This window comes from Homo sapiens, chromosome 1 (genome assembly GCF_000001405.40).
Source record: "Homo sapiens chromosome 1, GRCh38.p14 Primary Assembly".
NCBI lineage: Eukaryota > Metazoa > Chordata > Mammalia > Primates > Hominidae > Homo > Homo sapiens.
Window position 1 is genome coordinate 102,997,904 of NC_000001.11, and position 19,365 is coordinate 103,017,268.

The 19,365-nt window shown below is 31.1% G+C and overlaps 1 protein-coding gene across 10 annotated transcripts in view; it reads right to left on the minus strand.

The window, feature by feature from the left end:
• The window catches only part of COL11A1 (collagen type XI alpha 1 chain), a 232,050-nt gene that overhangs the window by 121,431 nt on the left and 91,254 nt on the right, over positions 1-19,365 (minus strand). For 9 of the 10 annotated variants that reach the window (NR_134980.2, XR_007085257.1, NM_001190709.2 and 6 more), the window contains 14 exons: positions 17,765-17,839; positions 16,608-16,691; positions 14,510-14,566; positions 10,560-10,613; positions 8,359-8,412; positions 8,165-8,218; positions 7,935-7,988; positions 6,705-6,758; positions 6,541-6,585; positions 5,312-5,365; positions 4,844-4,888; positions 4,525-4,578; positions 4,022-4,066; positions 407-460 (listed from right to left, as the gene is read on the minus strand). Coding sequence is in view for 8 of the 10 variants with exons in the window: in NM_001190709.2 (NP_001177638.1) it covers positions 407-460; positions 4,022-4,066; positions 4,525-4,578; positions 4,844-4,888; positions 5,312-5,365; positions 6,541-6,585; positions 6,705-6,758; positions 7,935-7,988; positions 8,165-8,218; positions 8,359-8,412; positions 10,560-10,613; positions 14,510-14,566; positions 16,608-16,691; positions 17,765-17,839 (783 nt within the window). In the remaining 2 variants the exon portion in view is untranslated. Of the gene's footprint in view, positions 1-406; positions 461-4,021; positions 4,067-4,524; positions 4,579-4,843; positions 4,889-5,311; positions 5,366-6,540; positions 6,586-6,704; positions 6,759-7,934; positions 7,989-8,164; positions 8,219-8,358; positions 8,413-10,559; positions 10,614-14,509; positions 14,567-15,378; positions 15,425-16,607; positions 16,692-17,764; positions 17,840-19,365 lie in introns of all 10 variants that reach the window. The other variant, XM_017000337.2, reaches the window with a different exon arrangement.

The following is a 19,365-nucleotide window of genomic DNA, read 5'->3' on the forward strand; positions in this document are numbered from 1 at the left end:
TAGAAACAGATACTTTGAAAAGGAGGAGAAGATGGAAGGGCTTTCTAGGAGAGGAAACAGCTTGGGAAAGGTAAGGTGATAGAAAATTTAGATCATGCAAGAATATGTGAGTGGACCTGCTTACCTGGAGCTAATGGTTAAGGAGGAAATGAAAAAAAATATGAGATTCTGGGGAGGTTCTGGCTTGGAGTGCCAAATGAGTTTCCACAAAAGCCACCGTGAGCTCATTAAAGATTTTGCAATATGGAAGTGATATGATGAAAGGTATTTTAGAGAGATCAATGTTTAATTACTGGCTCAATTTATTTTTATTACTAACCTCATATAATCATTTCTAAAACACATGTAAAATCTATTTTTAAAGATAATGTAAAGAAATTTTAATGACCAGGTAGCTGTTACTTACAGGAGGCCCATCAGCACCAGGAAGTCCAGCAAGTCCTGGTTTTCCTTGTGGTCCCTTATAGAGAAAAAAAAAATATTAAAAAGATAAAAATAATTTTAAAAAGCTTTAACGTGTACATATACTATGAATGAAATTCTTATCCTGAGTCACTGGCTTCAATTCATAAGTAATAACCATTTAAATAACTTTTAAATATATTATTTGGAGGAAATGCCATGTAAAGATAAATTAAAACTAAATTTAACATGTCAAAGGTATGCTAGGTTTTAGCCTGCTTATAATCTTAGATAGGTCTTTTTTTAAATTAGCAAATTAGTTTTTGAATACCACAATAAACTGAAGCTTAGAGAACAAAAAGGAAAGCAATATAGGCCAGAAATATATTGATTCATATCATTAAAGAGGTAAAGATTGTATTATTTCCCTCAATAATATTAGTAAGTACTAATTCAAAAAATTACATAGTAACATTGATGAAACACCATTATTAAAATATTTTGTGCAATGTTATGGTATGATAGTTATTCATAGGAAATGAAGGAAAGTAAATCGATTTTAATGTAAAAAGAACATATCCTAATAGGTACCCAATAAGATAATAATAAAGTAATAATTCAACAGATTAATCCCTGTTTAACCACACAGAGTTTCAAATCACATTGAACATGACCATTTCTAAATTTGGAACATGGTAAGAATCACTACTACAAGAATCAGACCTTTTCTTGGGAGAAAAGTAGACATTCTTCTAAGAATATTAAATTTATCAAGTTCCCAGAGCCCAGGTCATCGTTATTGACACATCAAGTTATTGTCCAGGATTCAGAATCAATGAGAAGGTCAAGGACATATCAGCAAGCCTAAATGCTGGACATATTTTTGGGCTTTTTCCATTCTCAGGGAGTAAAGTACAATCATTGTATTCATATTGCCTGCCATTGCAGTTTTACAAGAAAATTTCAACCAAATCAGCATAGAACAAAAATGAATTAAAAGTAACCTTTAAATTGAAAAGTGAAGATTTTTTAACCAAATGTGGCAGCGTTGCAATCTGGATGAACTTAGGTTCCTATCCACGTCTTCAAAGTTCCTCCCTTTAACTAATATTTATTTTGTGTCTTGTTATTTTATACTGGACTCAGAGAGTTATGTAACATCAATTGCTACTAAGCAATTAATATATGAGTGAACTCGGAAATTAAATCACAGGAAATATTTAGGAGATATCACAATTTATCATAGGATGTATTTGGTATATTTATCAAAAATGTCAGAAAAATATAATATATTATCTATTTTAGTTAATTAACTTAAATTTTATGAAATATTTTTACCAAAAATAAAAGCACAGGCTATGATAAGTTAGTACAAAAAATTGCTCTTGGATTGTAAAAACATATGACATTAGTTAAATTGTATTAAAATGTTAAATTATACCATGATACAATTAAACATTACTATTTACCAAATTTTCGAAGCGAAGGCTCTTGAGCCAGAATAAATAAATCATAGTTATCATTAAAAACAAAAGTAATAGCTTCTACTTTTTTAATATAGATGTAATACAACATTTATATTGTAAATACATTATCATTAAAAAGTGTTTTCCTCATATTTTTGAGTACCTTTCTCCTTTTGATGGTAAGAGATTGATTTTGAACCTACAGGCTGGATATATTCAGATCAGAGGCAGAAGCAGTATTACATAAAACAGCTCTCTTCTTACCACCGGAAATGCAGTAAACTAGATTATACATTTTATCTGGCTTGGCACAGGTAATTCAGATATAACAACTTTTCCTAAGAGCAAATTCCTCTTAATAATCTAGTACATACATGATAAAATCATGGTAGAAAATTTAATAGGTGCATGTGTCAAGTGCAATACAAAATAAATATAGTATATTTTTAATGCACTAATCTAAAATATGAGTGACCCAGATTAAACTCCCTGATCTAAATATTAAAAATAACCTTTAGAACCTAACATAACTAATAGGACATTTTCCAATAGTGCTGTGCAGCTATGTCTAAAACATCCACAGAAAAAAGTACTTTCAAAACCACTTAAATCTGATATGTCTGCTCTTACAACTCAATATTAAGATAAATAATCCAATTAGAATATTAACCAAAAGAGTTTAACAGCTATTTTATCAAAGAAGTTATAGAAATGGCCAATAAGCATGTGAAAAGATGTTCAACAAAAGTAGTGATTAGGAAAATGCAAATTACAACCACAATGAGATAACATTTCACACCAACGAGAATGATCGTAATCAAGAAGACAGACAATAACAAGCATTAGTGAGAATGTGCAGAAATGACTATCCTCATACATGGTTACTTGGAAGGGAAAATGGTACAATCGATATGGAAAAGAGTGGAATTCACAAAATATTGAATATAAGTTTACCATAACACAAGAATTCTGCTTCTAAGTATATACCAAAAAGAATGAAAACACATCTATACAAAGACTTGTATGCAATTATTCACTACAGCACCGGTATGGAGAATAGCGAAAAAGTATAAACTACACCTATTCTATCAACTGCCAAGTAAAAGTAAACAGAACCTGGTATACCCAATCAATGGAATACTATGAGAACAAAATAAGGAGCAAAGTACTAATATATGTATGCTACAGCATGGATGAACCTAAAATGAAAGAAGTCAGACATAAAGGTCACATACACATTCATATGATTAAATCATAAATTTATTCATAAGTTTCATTCACATGAAATATTCAGAAAACTCAAATCTACAGAGACAGAAAGCAAATTAATTGTTAGCTAGGTCTGAGGGGGTGGAAACATGGACTGAATATTAACACGAGGATTATTTCTGGAGTGGTATAAGTATTCCGAAACTTAGATTGCAGCACATCTGTAAATTTAGTAAAAATAATTCACTTGTACACTTAAAACAAGGGAATATTTATAGTATTTAAATTACACTTCGATAAAGCTATTAGTTTTTTTTAATTAATATGTTTGTAGAAATCAACAAAAATAATGAAAGAAAAAAGGTGTTGGAAAGAGCCAGATAGAAATGTGCTATGACTACAGGGGACAAAATATTACTCAAGGAATCTCACAGTGGAGATCAGGGAAAAAGACATGTGTTTAATTATAGATTTATTCTTGTTTTGATCCAGACATTGAGTTATTAACAAGAACATCATTTGCTATTCATATATGAGATATAATGGCAATGACAACTTCACAACTTTCCTTTCATCATGTCTTCCTACAAATCTTTTGTCACAAGCAAACTTAATTACTTTTTTGTAAAATAATGAGAAAGAAAAGGAGACCTAAAATAAAGAGAAAATATTCACTCATACCGTTATGTTCCTGAAATTAACATAGCTGAGAATGCCACATTTGGAAGCTGTTTAAATGGTAACTGAAGTTTTATCATTCTCAGTTTAAGAACACATGAATGAAATCTCCCCACACTATATTTCCATGTCGACTCCAGATTAATTCCTTATGTGCTGAGCTATCTAGATATCTTAACAAAAACAGAAGGCAGACCTTATACCTGCCTAAGATTGCTAAAACAAACATGTTCACCAGGCTTTACGAGAACAACAGAGTAACTTACTTTTTCACCAGGAGGACCAATTGGACCTTGTGGACCAGGAAGACCCTATTTTAAAAGAATTTATTTCATATATCAGATATCAAATCACAGTAATATGCTTTTAAAACAGCAAATTATTAGCTCACTATAGTACACAGTGAGTTATAAGAATCTGTATATATTCCCATACACCCCAAGGAATTTTAGAACACGATGAGGAGTTTTACACAAGCTGCTCTTTTTTGCAAAGGGACTATAATGCGATCCTATTCAGAACCCTCCTGCAGGTGGCTATTAGTCCTGGCATTCCCTAAACATTGAATGAGTCATTTTTCCCTGGGAAGAGAGGGGCTTCTGCAAGTTTGCTCAAATTTTTTTAAAAAAAGAAAAGTATGTATTTTCCTACATTCACATTTTAAATATTGCTAGGACTACATAGAAAATTGTGAGACTGTCGATTTTCTTATAGAAAGATAGCATCTTCCCCCCATTATTTCAAAGGAGCTGCAGTGGCTTAGACTTACCTGAGGTCCTGGATTCCCTTGTTGACCTGGAGGCCCAGGCTCCCCTTGGGGACCCTGCCAGAGGAAAATATAAAAAGTTTTTAATGGGCTATATTACACAATAGATTTTTGTTCTTCTCAATTGGAAAATACCTCTACCCACCCTCAAACAGTTTTCCCTCATGAGATTCTGGAAAATATTTCAAAATATTAATGCAAGCTGTATCTAATATACTTAGCAAAATGTAATAAATCATTATATTTTAGATTTAACAACAAAAAATGGTTTCTTAGGGCTTATATTCAAATATGAGTTATTTTATCACTATTTGCTACATACCATGTTCCCTTTTGGTCCTGGGGGGCCATCTACACCTGCCATACCCTGCAATGAAGAAAAAGTATTTATGGTTGTTTATATGTTTTGATGCTAAAACAGAAAATCAAAAAGACTAATCTAATATCATGATATTCACTACCCTAAGCAACTAAAAATCATTTTAGGATTTAATGGAAACGAAGAAGAGACAAGACCTATACTTTCTTTTCCATGTCCACATTGGAGACAATCTAGCAACATTTTCCTCTGCATGCTGGGGATGTATCATGAAAACACTAAGATAGATAATCAAAAGGAAGATAGAAGAAAAGGAGGGAATGATGAGTTAAAGTGAAAGGCAGCAACAATAGATCTTCAAACATAACAAGGCAATAAACTCTTGGCTCTCTACTGAGGGCTTTTATGGCCTCTAAAAGGTTGGCAACAAGCTTTCCCTAGAAAATCTTCAATGTTTCCAGCAATACATACAGGCTGCCCTGGAGCTCCTGGAGTTCCCCTTGGACCCAGCAAACCTCGTGGGCCCTAGGAGAAAAAGAAAAAGCACGCCTTTATTAAAAAAAAAAAATGTCCTAATAACATGCCTCTTTCAATGAAGAAATCCTAAGGTTATTTTTAGAATAAAAATATTTGGACATCTTTTATTAACACACTGAAAGTGATGTCCATAACATAAATATCTAGTGTTTATACTGATCCAAAAGCCAGAATAAATAACAGTTTTTAGTACAGAAACTGTGTTTCTTTGATTCTATAATATTACATATGAATCACTTGGGGAATTTTTAAAATAGGAAACAGTTTAATATTTTCTATAAGACACTTTTGTGTCATTTTTTGATTTCAGTGACAGCATCGAACATTATTATTCAATCAGATATACTACATAAATAGAAGAGTCTTGATTCTCATTTATTGTACATTTAGGTAAATTTCATCTTAAGACAGCATTCACTGAGGAAAGAAAACGATCATCTGTGTAACTATATATGCAGATTACAGAAACCATTTTTCGAGGTTTCTTAAATTATTATTATTCACACTTGATTTCTCCTTCTCTTCTTTTTCCCCCTCCTGCACCTGCTCACCTTCTTTTCCTTCTTTAGAAAAGCCAATAAAATAATCTAATTTCTCTCCCATTTGCTTGAACTTACTTGACAAGGATCTAAAATGTGGCGCAAGGTAGAATGCAGCAATTTAAAACCAAAATTAGGAGGCCTATTTCCAGTTTAGTTATTTTGTTAGCTAGCTTCAAGTAAACCTTCCCAGATCAGTTTCCTCATTTGTAATATTTGGTGGAGAAAAGTGATATATTCCATATGTCTGGTATATTCCAAGTGACATATTATTTTTTTTCTTCTGGTAATAGGATTCATTTCTTCTCAGTACATAAATTTCGGAGCTATTGATGACAGCACAAAAAACAAAACAAAGAAACAGCAACAAAAACTAGGTAAGGTAACTTTTTTGGCTGGAAATGTTACATTCCACAGATTTTTCCCTCAATTGTCTAAGATTTTCTCTGTAACAAAAGGAGCTCTATATATCCTTTTTAATTTTTTTCGCATGGCAATTATCTGGTTAGCTTAGCTAAGACTGCAATGTTTACCTGGGTTTATCATTGTTTTTATATGTGTAACACCAGTCACTAGTCCTAAAAACTAGAAATATTACTTAAAAATAAAAAGTAAGTTGCTTACAGCTTCACCTGGAAGACCTCTTGGTCCAATTTCTCCATCTTCTCCCTGTCATTGACAAAATGAATGAGAGTATAGAACATTTGGACAATGTATCATTTCAACATGATTTTGTTTTATTATGTTTTAATTTTAAATATTTCTTAAGAAAAGAAGTATTAACATACCCTCATTCCATCATCACCAGGAGGACCTGGAGGACCTTGAGGACCTCGTTCACCCTGTTAAATCAATACAAATAAGATTAGCATATGGAAAGAAGTAGAATGTTTACAAGTCTATCAGGTAGCTATCCAAACCAAATAAAACAGGACATTTGGCAGGGAAAATATATGCTTTATTTACCCTCCTCAAAAAATTTTGCAGATAAATCATAATTTAACAACTTTAACTGGCTTTACATGTTAGTATGCTAATAATATTTTATAATTATAATATTTTCTCTCAATTTTCAATACAAAAGAGTTATGTAAAATAAGTATCTTAAATCGTTTTCAGACATTTAATTATTTTAAGCTAAATTGTTCAGAAACTTATTTTGCTGATGATTGTATTAAATATGGATATATTTTGGTGATTTTGACTTAAATATTTTCTACTTCTAAGTAATTTATATTAAATCAGCATAACTCAGGTGACTAAAGAAATCTGGTATTTTTTAAATGGATACAATTATGTCTTGATCTTAACATGTTAGACACATACTATATGTTCTGTCAGACATTCATAGGGTTTTCTTTCCTTTTACTATTTTTTTCTTCTCCAATTTACTTAAAGCTTATCTTATTCTCATTATTAATGCTGTTAAAGAAAGATGTGAAGATCTAAAGCTGATCTTTTTCTGAGAGATTGTCTGCATAGTTTCCTACTAAAATTATCTACTGGAATACTGTTCAGAATCATGGTTTCTTTAGCCTTCACAAATTACAAGTTCTTGCCTTGTACTGAAAGTTTTTACCATCACCAAAAAATAATATAGTGCCTAGTATATTACTGTATTAATGACAAACCACCTACAGATGTCTTCTTTTGAGTATATGTCCACAGGCAAAAAGCAATGAAAAGGTTGAAGGAATTATTAAAAAATTAGAGGTAAAATTAAATGTCCACATTGCTCTTCTGTTTATGTGATATTTTCCAGGTAAATGTATATAAAGATTCTGATTCAATTTATGTTTGCATAAAAGGAATATTATAATGTCTAAAAATATTCAAAGAACTTACACTGATACCACATGTGTAATTTTACCTATTTTCCTTCTAGTATCTATTAGATTATTAAGTGGATTCACAAACGTTAAAATTAATTTTTCTTCTTTTTCTGATTTTGCAAATTGTTATCAATTCTAAAATATTTTATAACATTCCCTGGAAAAAAAGGAATAGATGTATCTTACCCTGTGACCTTTGTCACCTGGCAGACCCGGAAGTCCATCAAACCCTCGATCTCCCTGTAAAACCATCATCATCATCATCATCATCATCATCATCACAATTCCAGTCTAGATATGTACTGCAATTTAAATGCGAAATATTCTCTCAGATTCAGAAAATGGATTTTTAAATATAAAATTTTCCAGAGTGAACTGACACAGGATGTGAATATAAAAATATGTGAGCTCCTGACCTTTGCCCCAGGTTCTCCTGGCATTCCTCTTCCTCCATCTGCACCTGGACGACCCTAATAATGCCAACAGCATGATTAAGCGAAGTGACTTTTATTACTAGCAAGGAAGTAAAATAAATAAATAAATAAATAAATAAATAAAACTAATGATCATGGCAGATGCCTTCAAAATGCACAATGAAAATAAGCCATACCCTTTTTCCAGGTTTTCCCGTTGGACCAGGGGGACCCTGGACGCCTCGAGGGCCCTATATCAAGACATCATAATTAAACCATATTATAGAATTCTTGATCAATAAACTCAATAGCATCAAGAGAGATGGTTTCAGAAACTAATATCCTCTTAGCGTTACCTTAATCATTCAAACACAAGAAAATTATTTCCATGTAAAAGTTCAGATAAAGCAGAAGACAAAAGGTTCATATCAAATAAATACCTATTTTTTCTAAATGGCTCCATTTTTTTTTTTTTTTTTTTTTTTTTTTTTGAGACGGAGTCTAGCTCTGTCGCCTAGGCTGGAGCCCAGCGGCGCGATCTCGGCTCACTGCAAGCTCTGCCTCCCAGGTTCACACCATTCTCCTGCCTCAGCCTCCCAAGTAGCTGGGACTACAGGCGCCCGCCACTATGCCCGGCTAATTTTTTGTATTTTTAGTAGAGATGGGGTTTCACCAGCATGGTCTCGGTCTCCTGACCTTGTGATCCACCCATCTCGGCCTCCCAAAATGCTGGGATTACAGGCGTGAGCCACCGCGCCCGGCCCTTATCACTTATTAATTATATATGTAGACATGAGGTTACATTTAAATAAAAGAAATAATTACACATTTTATTCCCCAAACCTTGGGGTTTTACATTTCCCTTGATGGAACACACTCTTAACTATCCATTCCATTTCTCTTCTCTTTCCAATCCCCTTTCTTTCACTTTCTCTCATTTGTTGGATGTTCTTTACTAGATATTTCTCCTTTCATTGCGCTTATAATGTTGGATTGTAATGGTCTTTTCTCATGTTTGAATCTCCCATTTAGATTGTGAACTGCTAAAGTCTTTAACCTATTTTTCCCCACTATACTCCTAAAATTTAGCACAGTGCCTGGTACACATCTCTTTTAATTAGCTACAAAATTTTGGAGGACAATTTGCCAATCCCTGAAGCAAATTATTGACTGGCACCATACTATGTCAGATTAAAGGTTTAAAATTCTCATTATCTTTTTCTTCAGTAGCAGTACACCATAATGTGTCAATATATACTTTTCGTGGGGATCGATATACATATTTTAAAATAAAAGTGTACAGCTAATAATAGGTCAAATGTAGTTTCACTATAAATATTACATAGGCCTTCATATTTAACTAACTACATATACTATTTAAAGTTAATTGAAACAATATGCATATAATAAACATGGTAGAAAAAAATGAAACCCAAATTTGAAAATATAAATAATTTTTATAATCACTGTGAAATGTTCATTCTAGAAATATAAAATTAAGACTGTCTAAAGACCCAGCGCGGTGAATCATTCCTATAATCCTAGCACTTTCGGAGGCCCAGGAGGGCAGATTGCTTGAGCTCAGGAGTTTGAGACCAGACTGGGCAACATGGTGAAACCCCAACTCTAGAAAAAATGCAAAAAAATTTGCCGGGCATGGTGGCGCATGCCTGTAGTCCCAGCTACTTGGGAGGCTAAAGTAGGAGGATCCTTTGAACCCAGGAGGCAGAGGTTGCAGTGAGCCAAGATTATGCCACTGCACACTCCAGCCTGGGCAACAGAGCAGAGTGAGACTCTGTCTCAAAAAAAAAAAAAAAAAAAAGATTGTCTACAGGTTAAAGAGTATGTAGCTTTGTAATGAGAAGACTGTACTCTGAACTCCAGTCTGAAGGCATGGGCCAACAATAACAGTACAAATTTTTTTTTAGTTTTTAAATGAAAATAATCCTTCCTTTGATAACACATTTCTCTTTTTGGATTAAAGGAGTCAAGGAAAACTAAAATCCAAAACAATTACTGCAATATGTTTTCAGCTTCATCTATTTTATAAAAAGAAAGTGTTGAGCAAAAAGTTCACAAACTTTGGGAAAAAATAAACTCTCTACATTTTCATATAGTCTAATATCAGTATTTTTACACGATTCCCAGTTAAGCTGCATTTTCCATCCTTTTAATGGCAAAGTTAACCCAACATAAAAAAGAAGGCTACTATATCTTGAATCACCCAAATATCGTAATCAGTTTTCTCTGAATTTTTTAATTTCAAAATAAACCCTCATACATCAATGGAATACTACTCAGGAACAAAAAAAAAATTAACTATTGATGCATTCTCGAAGGAATTATGCTGTATCAAAGAAGCCAGTCAAGAATAAAAAGTCAAATTTTTATTTTTTACCTGAGGACCTGGATCACCACTCTCACCTTTGGCCCCAGATGAACCAGGCCCCCCCTATAGAGAAAAAGTGAAGATATTTCACTTAATTTAGCAATTTCCTAACTACTTTTATCCTGCCAATTGCACCTGAAATAATTAAACATTATTCAAAATATATTTAATCATATTAGCATTAACTTATTAATTAACACAGTAAAATTTTCCAGCACTTGCATTGAAATATATCTCTTCTCAATGTTGATTACATTCCAATTTGTGAGCAATAAAGGTCTATATTTTATGTAGCACTACACAGAAGCTAACCTCATGAAATCACATTGAAATTGTCTTTTGTGTGTGCACTATCAGAACTCATATGATGACACACAAAGCATTATTTATGACTACACTGTGATGTAGTAGTAGAGTAACCCATTATTACCAAATCAGATATACATGTAATCCATTTATACTGTAAGGACTTGACAAAATGTTACTGCTTTTATATTCAGATTTTTTTAGACTCTGAATTGTATGATAATAAAATGGCAAGAACCTGGTGTTATTGATACTATTATAATTGCCGTGAAATAGTGTTAACACATTTTTCCCAGGTTGGTTTGTTTTTTCCCATGAGAATAAGTCTGTATAACAAACATCTCTTAAATACATTTACATAATTAAGAAGGTGACCAGGCATGGTGGCTCACGCCTGTAATCCCAGCACTTTGGGAGGCCAAGGCAGGTAGATCACCTGAGGTCAGGAGTTCGAGACCAGACTGGCCAATATAGTGAAACTCCGTCTCTACTAAAAATACAAAAATTGGCTGGGCATGGCATCGGGTGCCTGTAATCCCAGCTACTCAGGAGGCTGAGACAGAAGAATTGCTTGAAACGGACAGGCAGAGCTTGCAGAGAGCCAAGATAGCACCACTGCATTCCAGCCTAGGTGCCAAGAGCAAAACTCCATCTCAAAAAATAAATAAATAAAAATAACTAAAATGTAAAAGGTGTAACAACAACCTGGCATGTGTACTAAAATAAATAAACAAAACATAAAATTGCTTTATAAACAAGTTGTGAGGTTTAAAATTAAACACTAGGCAACACATATCCCCAAAAACTTTCAGAACATTAAAAATAAACATGGTGATTATAGTTACTTCATGCTGAAATACTGTGTGTTCTAAAAGATTCTAATTTATTTAAATCCATACACATTCCATTAAATACTACATCGTATAAAGTATGACAGAGATTTAAATTATGCTAAATCTGAAAAATGGTAGCAATTTATAGTCTCCTGGTGACTCCAAAGTAAAAGAAATATTAACGATGCCCACAAAATACAAAAAGTCAAGTAACATGAATTTTCTAATCTTTAAAATTAAGAGAATAATGACTTTCAAGCTTCCAATGAAGAATTATTGCAAATAAACTTCTGCAAGAAAAAAACTGGGGTTCTACATTAAATCAGATTATTAATCACTGAATTGAATGCAATTATGCAATTATAGAATGGACTATTTTTAATTAATCGACTGTATTACATTCTCTGTATATAAGCACTACCTACTCAACAGATTATAATTCTTTTGCTCCAACATTTATTCTAAAAAATGTCACACAGTCATTGACTATAAAATAATAGGGAAAAAACAGATTTTCTACACTTCCTGAATGTTTTATGATACAGTCCTCCATTTGTCTATAAAGATAACTAGATGTAAACAATTGGTTAAAATAATTTTCATAGGAAAAATGTACAGATGTCAAAATATCGATGTAGACTTTCTTTTCTAAATCTTAATCTAGTGAATACTTTTTTAGACTATAGAATTAAGAGATATTTGGAAGACTAATAATTTAATGTTTTGATGCAAACATCAAATTTGCATGTTTTGAAATGGTAAAAAGAAACAATATGATTTTTTTCTCTCAATACCTACCTTCAATAATTAAGGAAGCTAAAACTTTCATATCAAAGTGATAAGTAGATAAAATTAATTAATTTTGCCTATGACTTTGAGAATGTGTTTATGGGTGTCAATATTTTCTCTTTGCCAACAGTCTCTGGAAAATTGGCTGGCTCTTAATGGTTGTTTAATGAAAATAAGAACTGCTAATATAATGTGCCTCCCTTGTTTCTGCTCATTGCTGCCGTTAGCCTCTATGAATCCATTTCCTTGTGTTTTTCAAGATAATAAATGAAATTTATTTGAATAATAGAGTTTTAGATATCCTAGGACTGATATTTGTAAATTTTTTTTTTTTTTTGAGACGGAGTCTAGCTCTGTCGCCAAGGCTGGAGTGCAGTGGCACAATCTCAGCTCACAGCAACCTCCACATCCCGGGTTCAAGCCATTCTCCTGCCTCAGCCTCCCGAGTAGCTGGGATTACAGGCATGTGCCACCACACCCGGCGAATTTTCTATTTTTAGTAGAAACGGGGTTTCTCCATGTTGGTCAGGCTGGTCTCGAACTCCCAACCTTAGGTGATCCGCCCGCCTTGGCCTCCCAAAGTGCTGGGATTACAGGTGCGAGCCACCGCGCCCAGCCTGATATTTGTAAATTAAATCAAATATGGCACTGTTTCTCAAATATCTTTGGCCATAGGAATCAACCTGGTGCACGTATTAAAATTACAGTCGCTGGTTCCAATCCTGAATCTACAACATTACAGTCTTAAGTTCAGAGTCCCAGAAAGTTTTATTTTTAATAAAATACCTAGGTTAATTCTTCTGACCCCAAATTTCATAATACACTAACATACTACTTACTTTCCTGTTATGTAAATTTGAGTCATTAACAAATAATTAAAAATTAACTCTATTTCATTGGTTAAGTGATATAGAATCTGCCATATTACTGTATTTTGGAAAGGCAAAGCATGATAAAATACATGATAAACATTTAATAATGTGTTAAATTATATAATTTAAATTCTATGAAACATAGTATCAGAATATGTGTTCCCCGTGAGCTTATATGATTGAATGTATATTCCTGCAAAATATATATAAAATTTTATGACTAAATTATGGTAAATATAAATATAAGGAAATCTACATAATAAAATCTTCGATAAAATACATGAAGAAAAACTATTATCCTAATATAATCAGTAAAACAGACTAAATAATTAGAAGGCAAAGTACTTGATTTAAATTTGAATACAATAGTTTTGCTGCAAGTGTCTACTATGTACAATACAGATAAGATTTTAACTTTCAGAATAATACGTTCTGTAAATAGCAGAAAAAATTTATACAAAAAACAAATATTTAAAATATAAATTATTTATCCATCTATTCTAAAATTAATGAGAATCCTGGTTTGAATCCTGTGAACTGCTACACCACTTAACATTAGTATATTCTAGTGTATTTGAAGATTTTTTAGACAAAAATATTTGAAATATCTTAGCTTGCTATCACGCTAGTGAGAAAAAAATAATACTTTGTTATTTCCAAGAATTTCTACAAGAGAAAATACTCTCTCTAATAGTTGAAGCACCTTGTGGAATACTGAGGCAACCTGCGGTTTAAAAAGTATCTTGCTTGCCCTAAGATTGTGTCATAATTTTCATTGGCCTCAAATAAATTTTTCTTTTTTAACAAACATTTTGTTTAATATAAAATTAAGGCTCAAGGATTTAATGTAAAACATAATTTTGGAAGCTGAATATTAGGCAAATGAATGATACTTATAGTTTAAGAAATTAATAGTTGGATATGACTCAATTACATTTTTAATTTTATTTATTCAATTTAAAATTTTTTACTGAGACCTTTTGATCAAAATGTACAGAAAACTGAATTGAGAAGGATTTTTTTAATGGAAACAACAGCAAGCATGAAAACATACCCTATTGTCACCAACCATAGATATGCACAATCCCTGGAAGAAGTTGCACAGGGAACTGCTAATTTGAAAATTTTAACATATATTATCTTTGTTGGGGTAACCTACCACAGGACCTGGTCTTCCAGTTAGACCCATTGGGCCAGGTGGGCCTCTCAGAGCAATCTAGAAAACAAAATATATCAAATTCAGTAATATTCTCCTGGAAGAGCACATTAAAGTACAATATGAATCTGCACAAGCTGCCCTTAAGTAATACATGATCAACACAGATTTAATAACTACATGCTAGAAAGAGTGTCAGGTTACTGAAGAACTGCAAATTTCTAGAATGACAAAAGAGGTAAATATCAGACATTTTAAAAACTTTTTAACATATAAAATCTTGTAATATATATTGCTATGACTTAATCAAAAATAAAAGTTAAACTAGATTTTAGAACAACTAATATCTGATAATTTACTATTCTGAATTTACTCAAGAATAATGCATAGCCTTTTTCTCTTAAATGTGTAGGCACAATTTGAGAGGCTTTAAATAAAATTCTTTTAGCAATATTTTAGGAAAAATTATGATAACCAAAGCCAGACACCATAAAACAAAACTGGTCAGGAAGTGTTATGATAATATGTGCCTTTTAACAAATCTCAGATATAATGCTATAGAGAAGAATGTTTTATTTTGTATAATCATACGCATAATAAACTGATTACATGCACTATTGTTACACTGAATATTAGAAATGTGAAATTAGCATACTTGAAAAGCTGAAACACATACAGTACAAAAGATAAAAATTTGATAGATGTTAAATTAGTATTGTGTGCTACTTTTGAATATTAGAGAGCTCAACAGATGAACACTTAGATTTATCACAAAGATATCAAAAATAATACAACAGAAATAAATGCAAAATCATATTAGAAAAGTGCACGAGATGAAAACAGTAGGATCTCCAAAATCACTACTGACTCACCATGAGATTTTTGACAATATACTTCTTAATCCTTGAGATTAAATATCTGAAAAATTGAATTATAATGCTTGCTACCTATTTTTCAAGTAGGTTAAGAGGACTAATAAAGTGAGGAATTCAATGACCTCATAAAATATTTAAGTTCAAATAATTACCTTAAAATCGTTCAAAAGAATATATTTTATAAAATAAGTTATAGAAATCTTTAGTAAATTATTTTAAATAATTTTAGATTTGCATTATGCCAAAATCTAATAAACAAATATTTTAATTTTTCATTATCTTTAAACATGATACAATCAAATAATGATATATTTTCAGATTAATAGACTTAGGAAAGACATAAACAAATATTGAGGATGAATTACAATTTTTACTCATGTTTTCAGATATTTTTACACATGCTGCATAAATTCATCATGATGCATAAAAATTTTATCACAGAAGTGATTTATATTGGTTAGAAAGTGGGTAACCATATCCATACCAAACAAAAATCCTTTATTTCCTTCTTCCTTAAAAAGAAAACCAATACTATGAATAAAAATGTTATATGAATTCCATTTCCTTCCTGGTCTATCCTTTTGATTTTCTTGTGTATATTCTAATTTCAATGAAACTAATTAAAAAACATAAATGTAATTCTATATTTTATAAGTCTACAAGTAGTGGAAGCTTTAAACTAAAAAACATAAATTGAAATTTTAAAAATACTACAGATTATAAAGATTAGGGTTGGTAAGAAATTTGAAGGTTTCTTTTTTATATATGATGCCCAAAAAATTTAATTTTCTGTGTTATCCATGATATGTTAAATAATCCAGAAAATTAAGAACAAATGTATTTCAAATTTTATTCTCTTAATTATAACCAATCATTGACTTATAAGTTAGCAGAGTAAAACTGGATGTGAAAGATAAGGTGCACTAGGTGTAAATATATCAATACTCTTGGGAAAAAAAAATAGAAATCTTGCGTGTTATGGTGGGAAACTGCTAGAATTATATAATGGCAACATTGCATTGGTCAACTACCTAACTATAATTTTCAATTAATAAACATTACTACTAGAAAAACAAATAAAATTTTAGCAGTTTTCCAAGTAAGTTTAACACAGTATTCGGAAGTAAATATTCTATTAATAATGGTAGCATCTTCCGTATGTACACACATATATACTTGATACAGAGTCAGTCATCTTGTGGGAATGCAAGTTTATCCTGTCTTACCCGAGCCTGCTGAAGAATAGCTTGAGCCTGAGCTTCCTGAGCAGAGATGGTTGGTCCTTTGGAACCATCACCACCATAACGGAACTTGGAAGAGATAACATTAAGAAATTCAAAATTAGCTTTGTCAAACATGTTGAATTACGTGCTTTGATCATTAGATAAAAACCACTTATTAAAATGGTGGGATTTTACAAAATTACAAAGTAACTCCGTAATGAATCATGAGATCTAGTTTGTATTGTTTTTGCTCTTTCCATTTCTTCTGGAAGTTCTTTACACTACAGGTTACCATTTGTAGAAGAAGAAACTAGAAACTCTGTTTCAATTTTAAATGCTATAATTTCTATACCTCTGGAATAAACCATTGTGACTTTTTTTTAAGCACAAATGTTACCCATTTTATTGATTCATTTGTATAAAATTCCAAATATACCAAGTTCAGTGACAGTTACAGCTCAATCTCTATTTTGTTTGTCAAAATTTTTGGAATATCCATTAATACACAGGAAATTTTCCTTGTGATTTATTTATTTTGTTCACCCATTCTTAAGTACTTATGTTATAAAACAGATCTTCTGTAATATTCCTCTATAAAATTTGCTCCATTTTAACTCAAAATGCAGTAGGAGTCAATTTTTCATTCTAAGTAATTATTTCTTGAAACTTTGTTCATTACATTGAAATTGATAAATAAAATATGCATTTTTTTCCCAAAACACCAGGGCAACAAAAACTTTACAAAGGAATCTTACAGTAAAGCAAATAATTTTTGAGCAATGAATAATAACACTACAAATAAATACTATTTATGACTATATAGATAATAGATGGTAAATAGTATATTAATGTTATGTTAAATAACATATGAAAAACATGTTAATACTGTGACTCAGGATAAACCACAATTGGAAATATTGTCAAAAACTCTGTTGCTAAGAGTGTAATCAAATAATGAATTCTTAGTTTTAATGCAGAGATTGATACCATAATTTTGTTTTGTAAAATTTCCCTGAATTTCCAAATGCTGCTTAATTTCAAGTATTTCTACCTTGTACAATGGTTTTTAGTTGATTGCTCTTCAATATGGTTCAACAATAAACTTCAGAAAAAAGATGACAAGATATCAAGTCATCTCTATAACATAAAAAAGAACATACCGGTAACATCAACATAGTACCAGGAGGACCAGGTAGACCATCAGCCCCTGGTAAGCCAGGACGTCCTGGGGGGCCCTAGAAAAATAAATGAAATAACCAAAATAAATAAATATCAAAATAATATTTACTAGAACTAGAATAACTTATAACGTAAGTCTACTTTATCTAATTTGCATTTGCCCTTTCCACCTTATTTAGTCTGTTTTTAGTAAGTATACCTAGACAGAATTCTATTCTGTTGCACTAGTTTTAGATGATTTTAATAATGTTCGGTTATTAATATATAATCCAATTAAGCTATAAATTTTGCTCAAACTTTGTTCACAGCCTAAAACTGTGTAAGATGAAGAGTTCACATATATTTTAAGGGAAAGTAATGTGAGAAAAACAAGTAGTACAAGCCTGGTTCTTACAGTTAGATAAAAACAGATTTAAGTAAATAATGAAAGTTTTATTTAAAAATTACTAGGTTTAAGGTATATTTTAGTATTCTTTAACAGATACATAAATAGTATTTATTTTGTAGAATACTTAACTACATACTATATTTTAATAGACAATAGATACTATCTTCAAGAGAGATACTTTTTAACATAGATAATGACTAATTTTAGCATGTTAATGTTAATCATAATCACTAATTTATTTTAAATGTTTACTGATTAAATATACTCAGTGTATGTATGTGTGCATGCATACATACATGTACATTTAGAAGTTTAGGTGTGACTATGCTGTCCAGAAATCCAAGATATGGATATGAATATAGAAAATATTAAATATGTAATATATACATCTGTTGATAAGTATGTGACTCATAGATATAAGGTATATGTCCATAAGCTTTCAATATAAGGAGACATTTCTACATAGCCATGTCATACTTGTCAGGGAAGCAAGTAAATTCAAAAATTAATAAATAACTAGATACAAAATGCTATAACTCAAAGCGCCCAACCAATATATAAAAAAATGCAGCAGCACTTTTCAAATGTGAATTTCTCATAAAAAGTTAACTCCTAGGAAAGTGTTAACATTGATTCTAGATTGGCAAAATTATATTTTATTTAGAATATTATTTCAATAGATTCTGTACAAGTTTCAAGGAACTGTTAAAGTAAGTTCAAATAATGGCTTCTATAAAGAAATAATTTTTTAAAATCCTAACAAATCTAGCTTGAATGGTATAATTTCCTATTACTAAAATATTTCCTACATTTTTAGATCATTTATATGTCTCTATTTATAAGGCACAGTGTAAAGAGATGAATTTCTCACCTGATATAGAGTTTAAGGTGAGTAAATTACAGAATATAAAAAGGTCTTATGAAAATATGGTGGGATTTAAAAATATTAACTAAAATGACTATTACACATAAATGTCTCCAAGAAACTGGACATATCAAATTAAGTAAGCAGAGCATGTAAGAACTAACTTTATGAACTTTATTTTAAATAAAAAGTTTCATAATGTTTGCATAATACACTTCTTATGTCCTCTGACCTTAAATAGCTGTTACTCAGTCCAGAATTTCTGAAATAGTTAAAAATCTTCCTTCATTAAATTTAAATTAAAAAGTTTTTACATTATTTAAATTGTA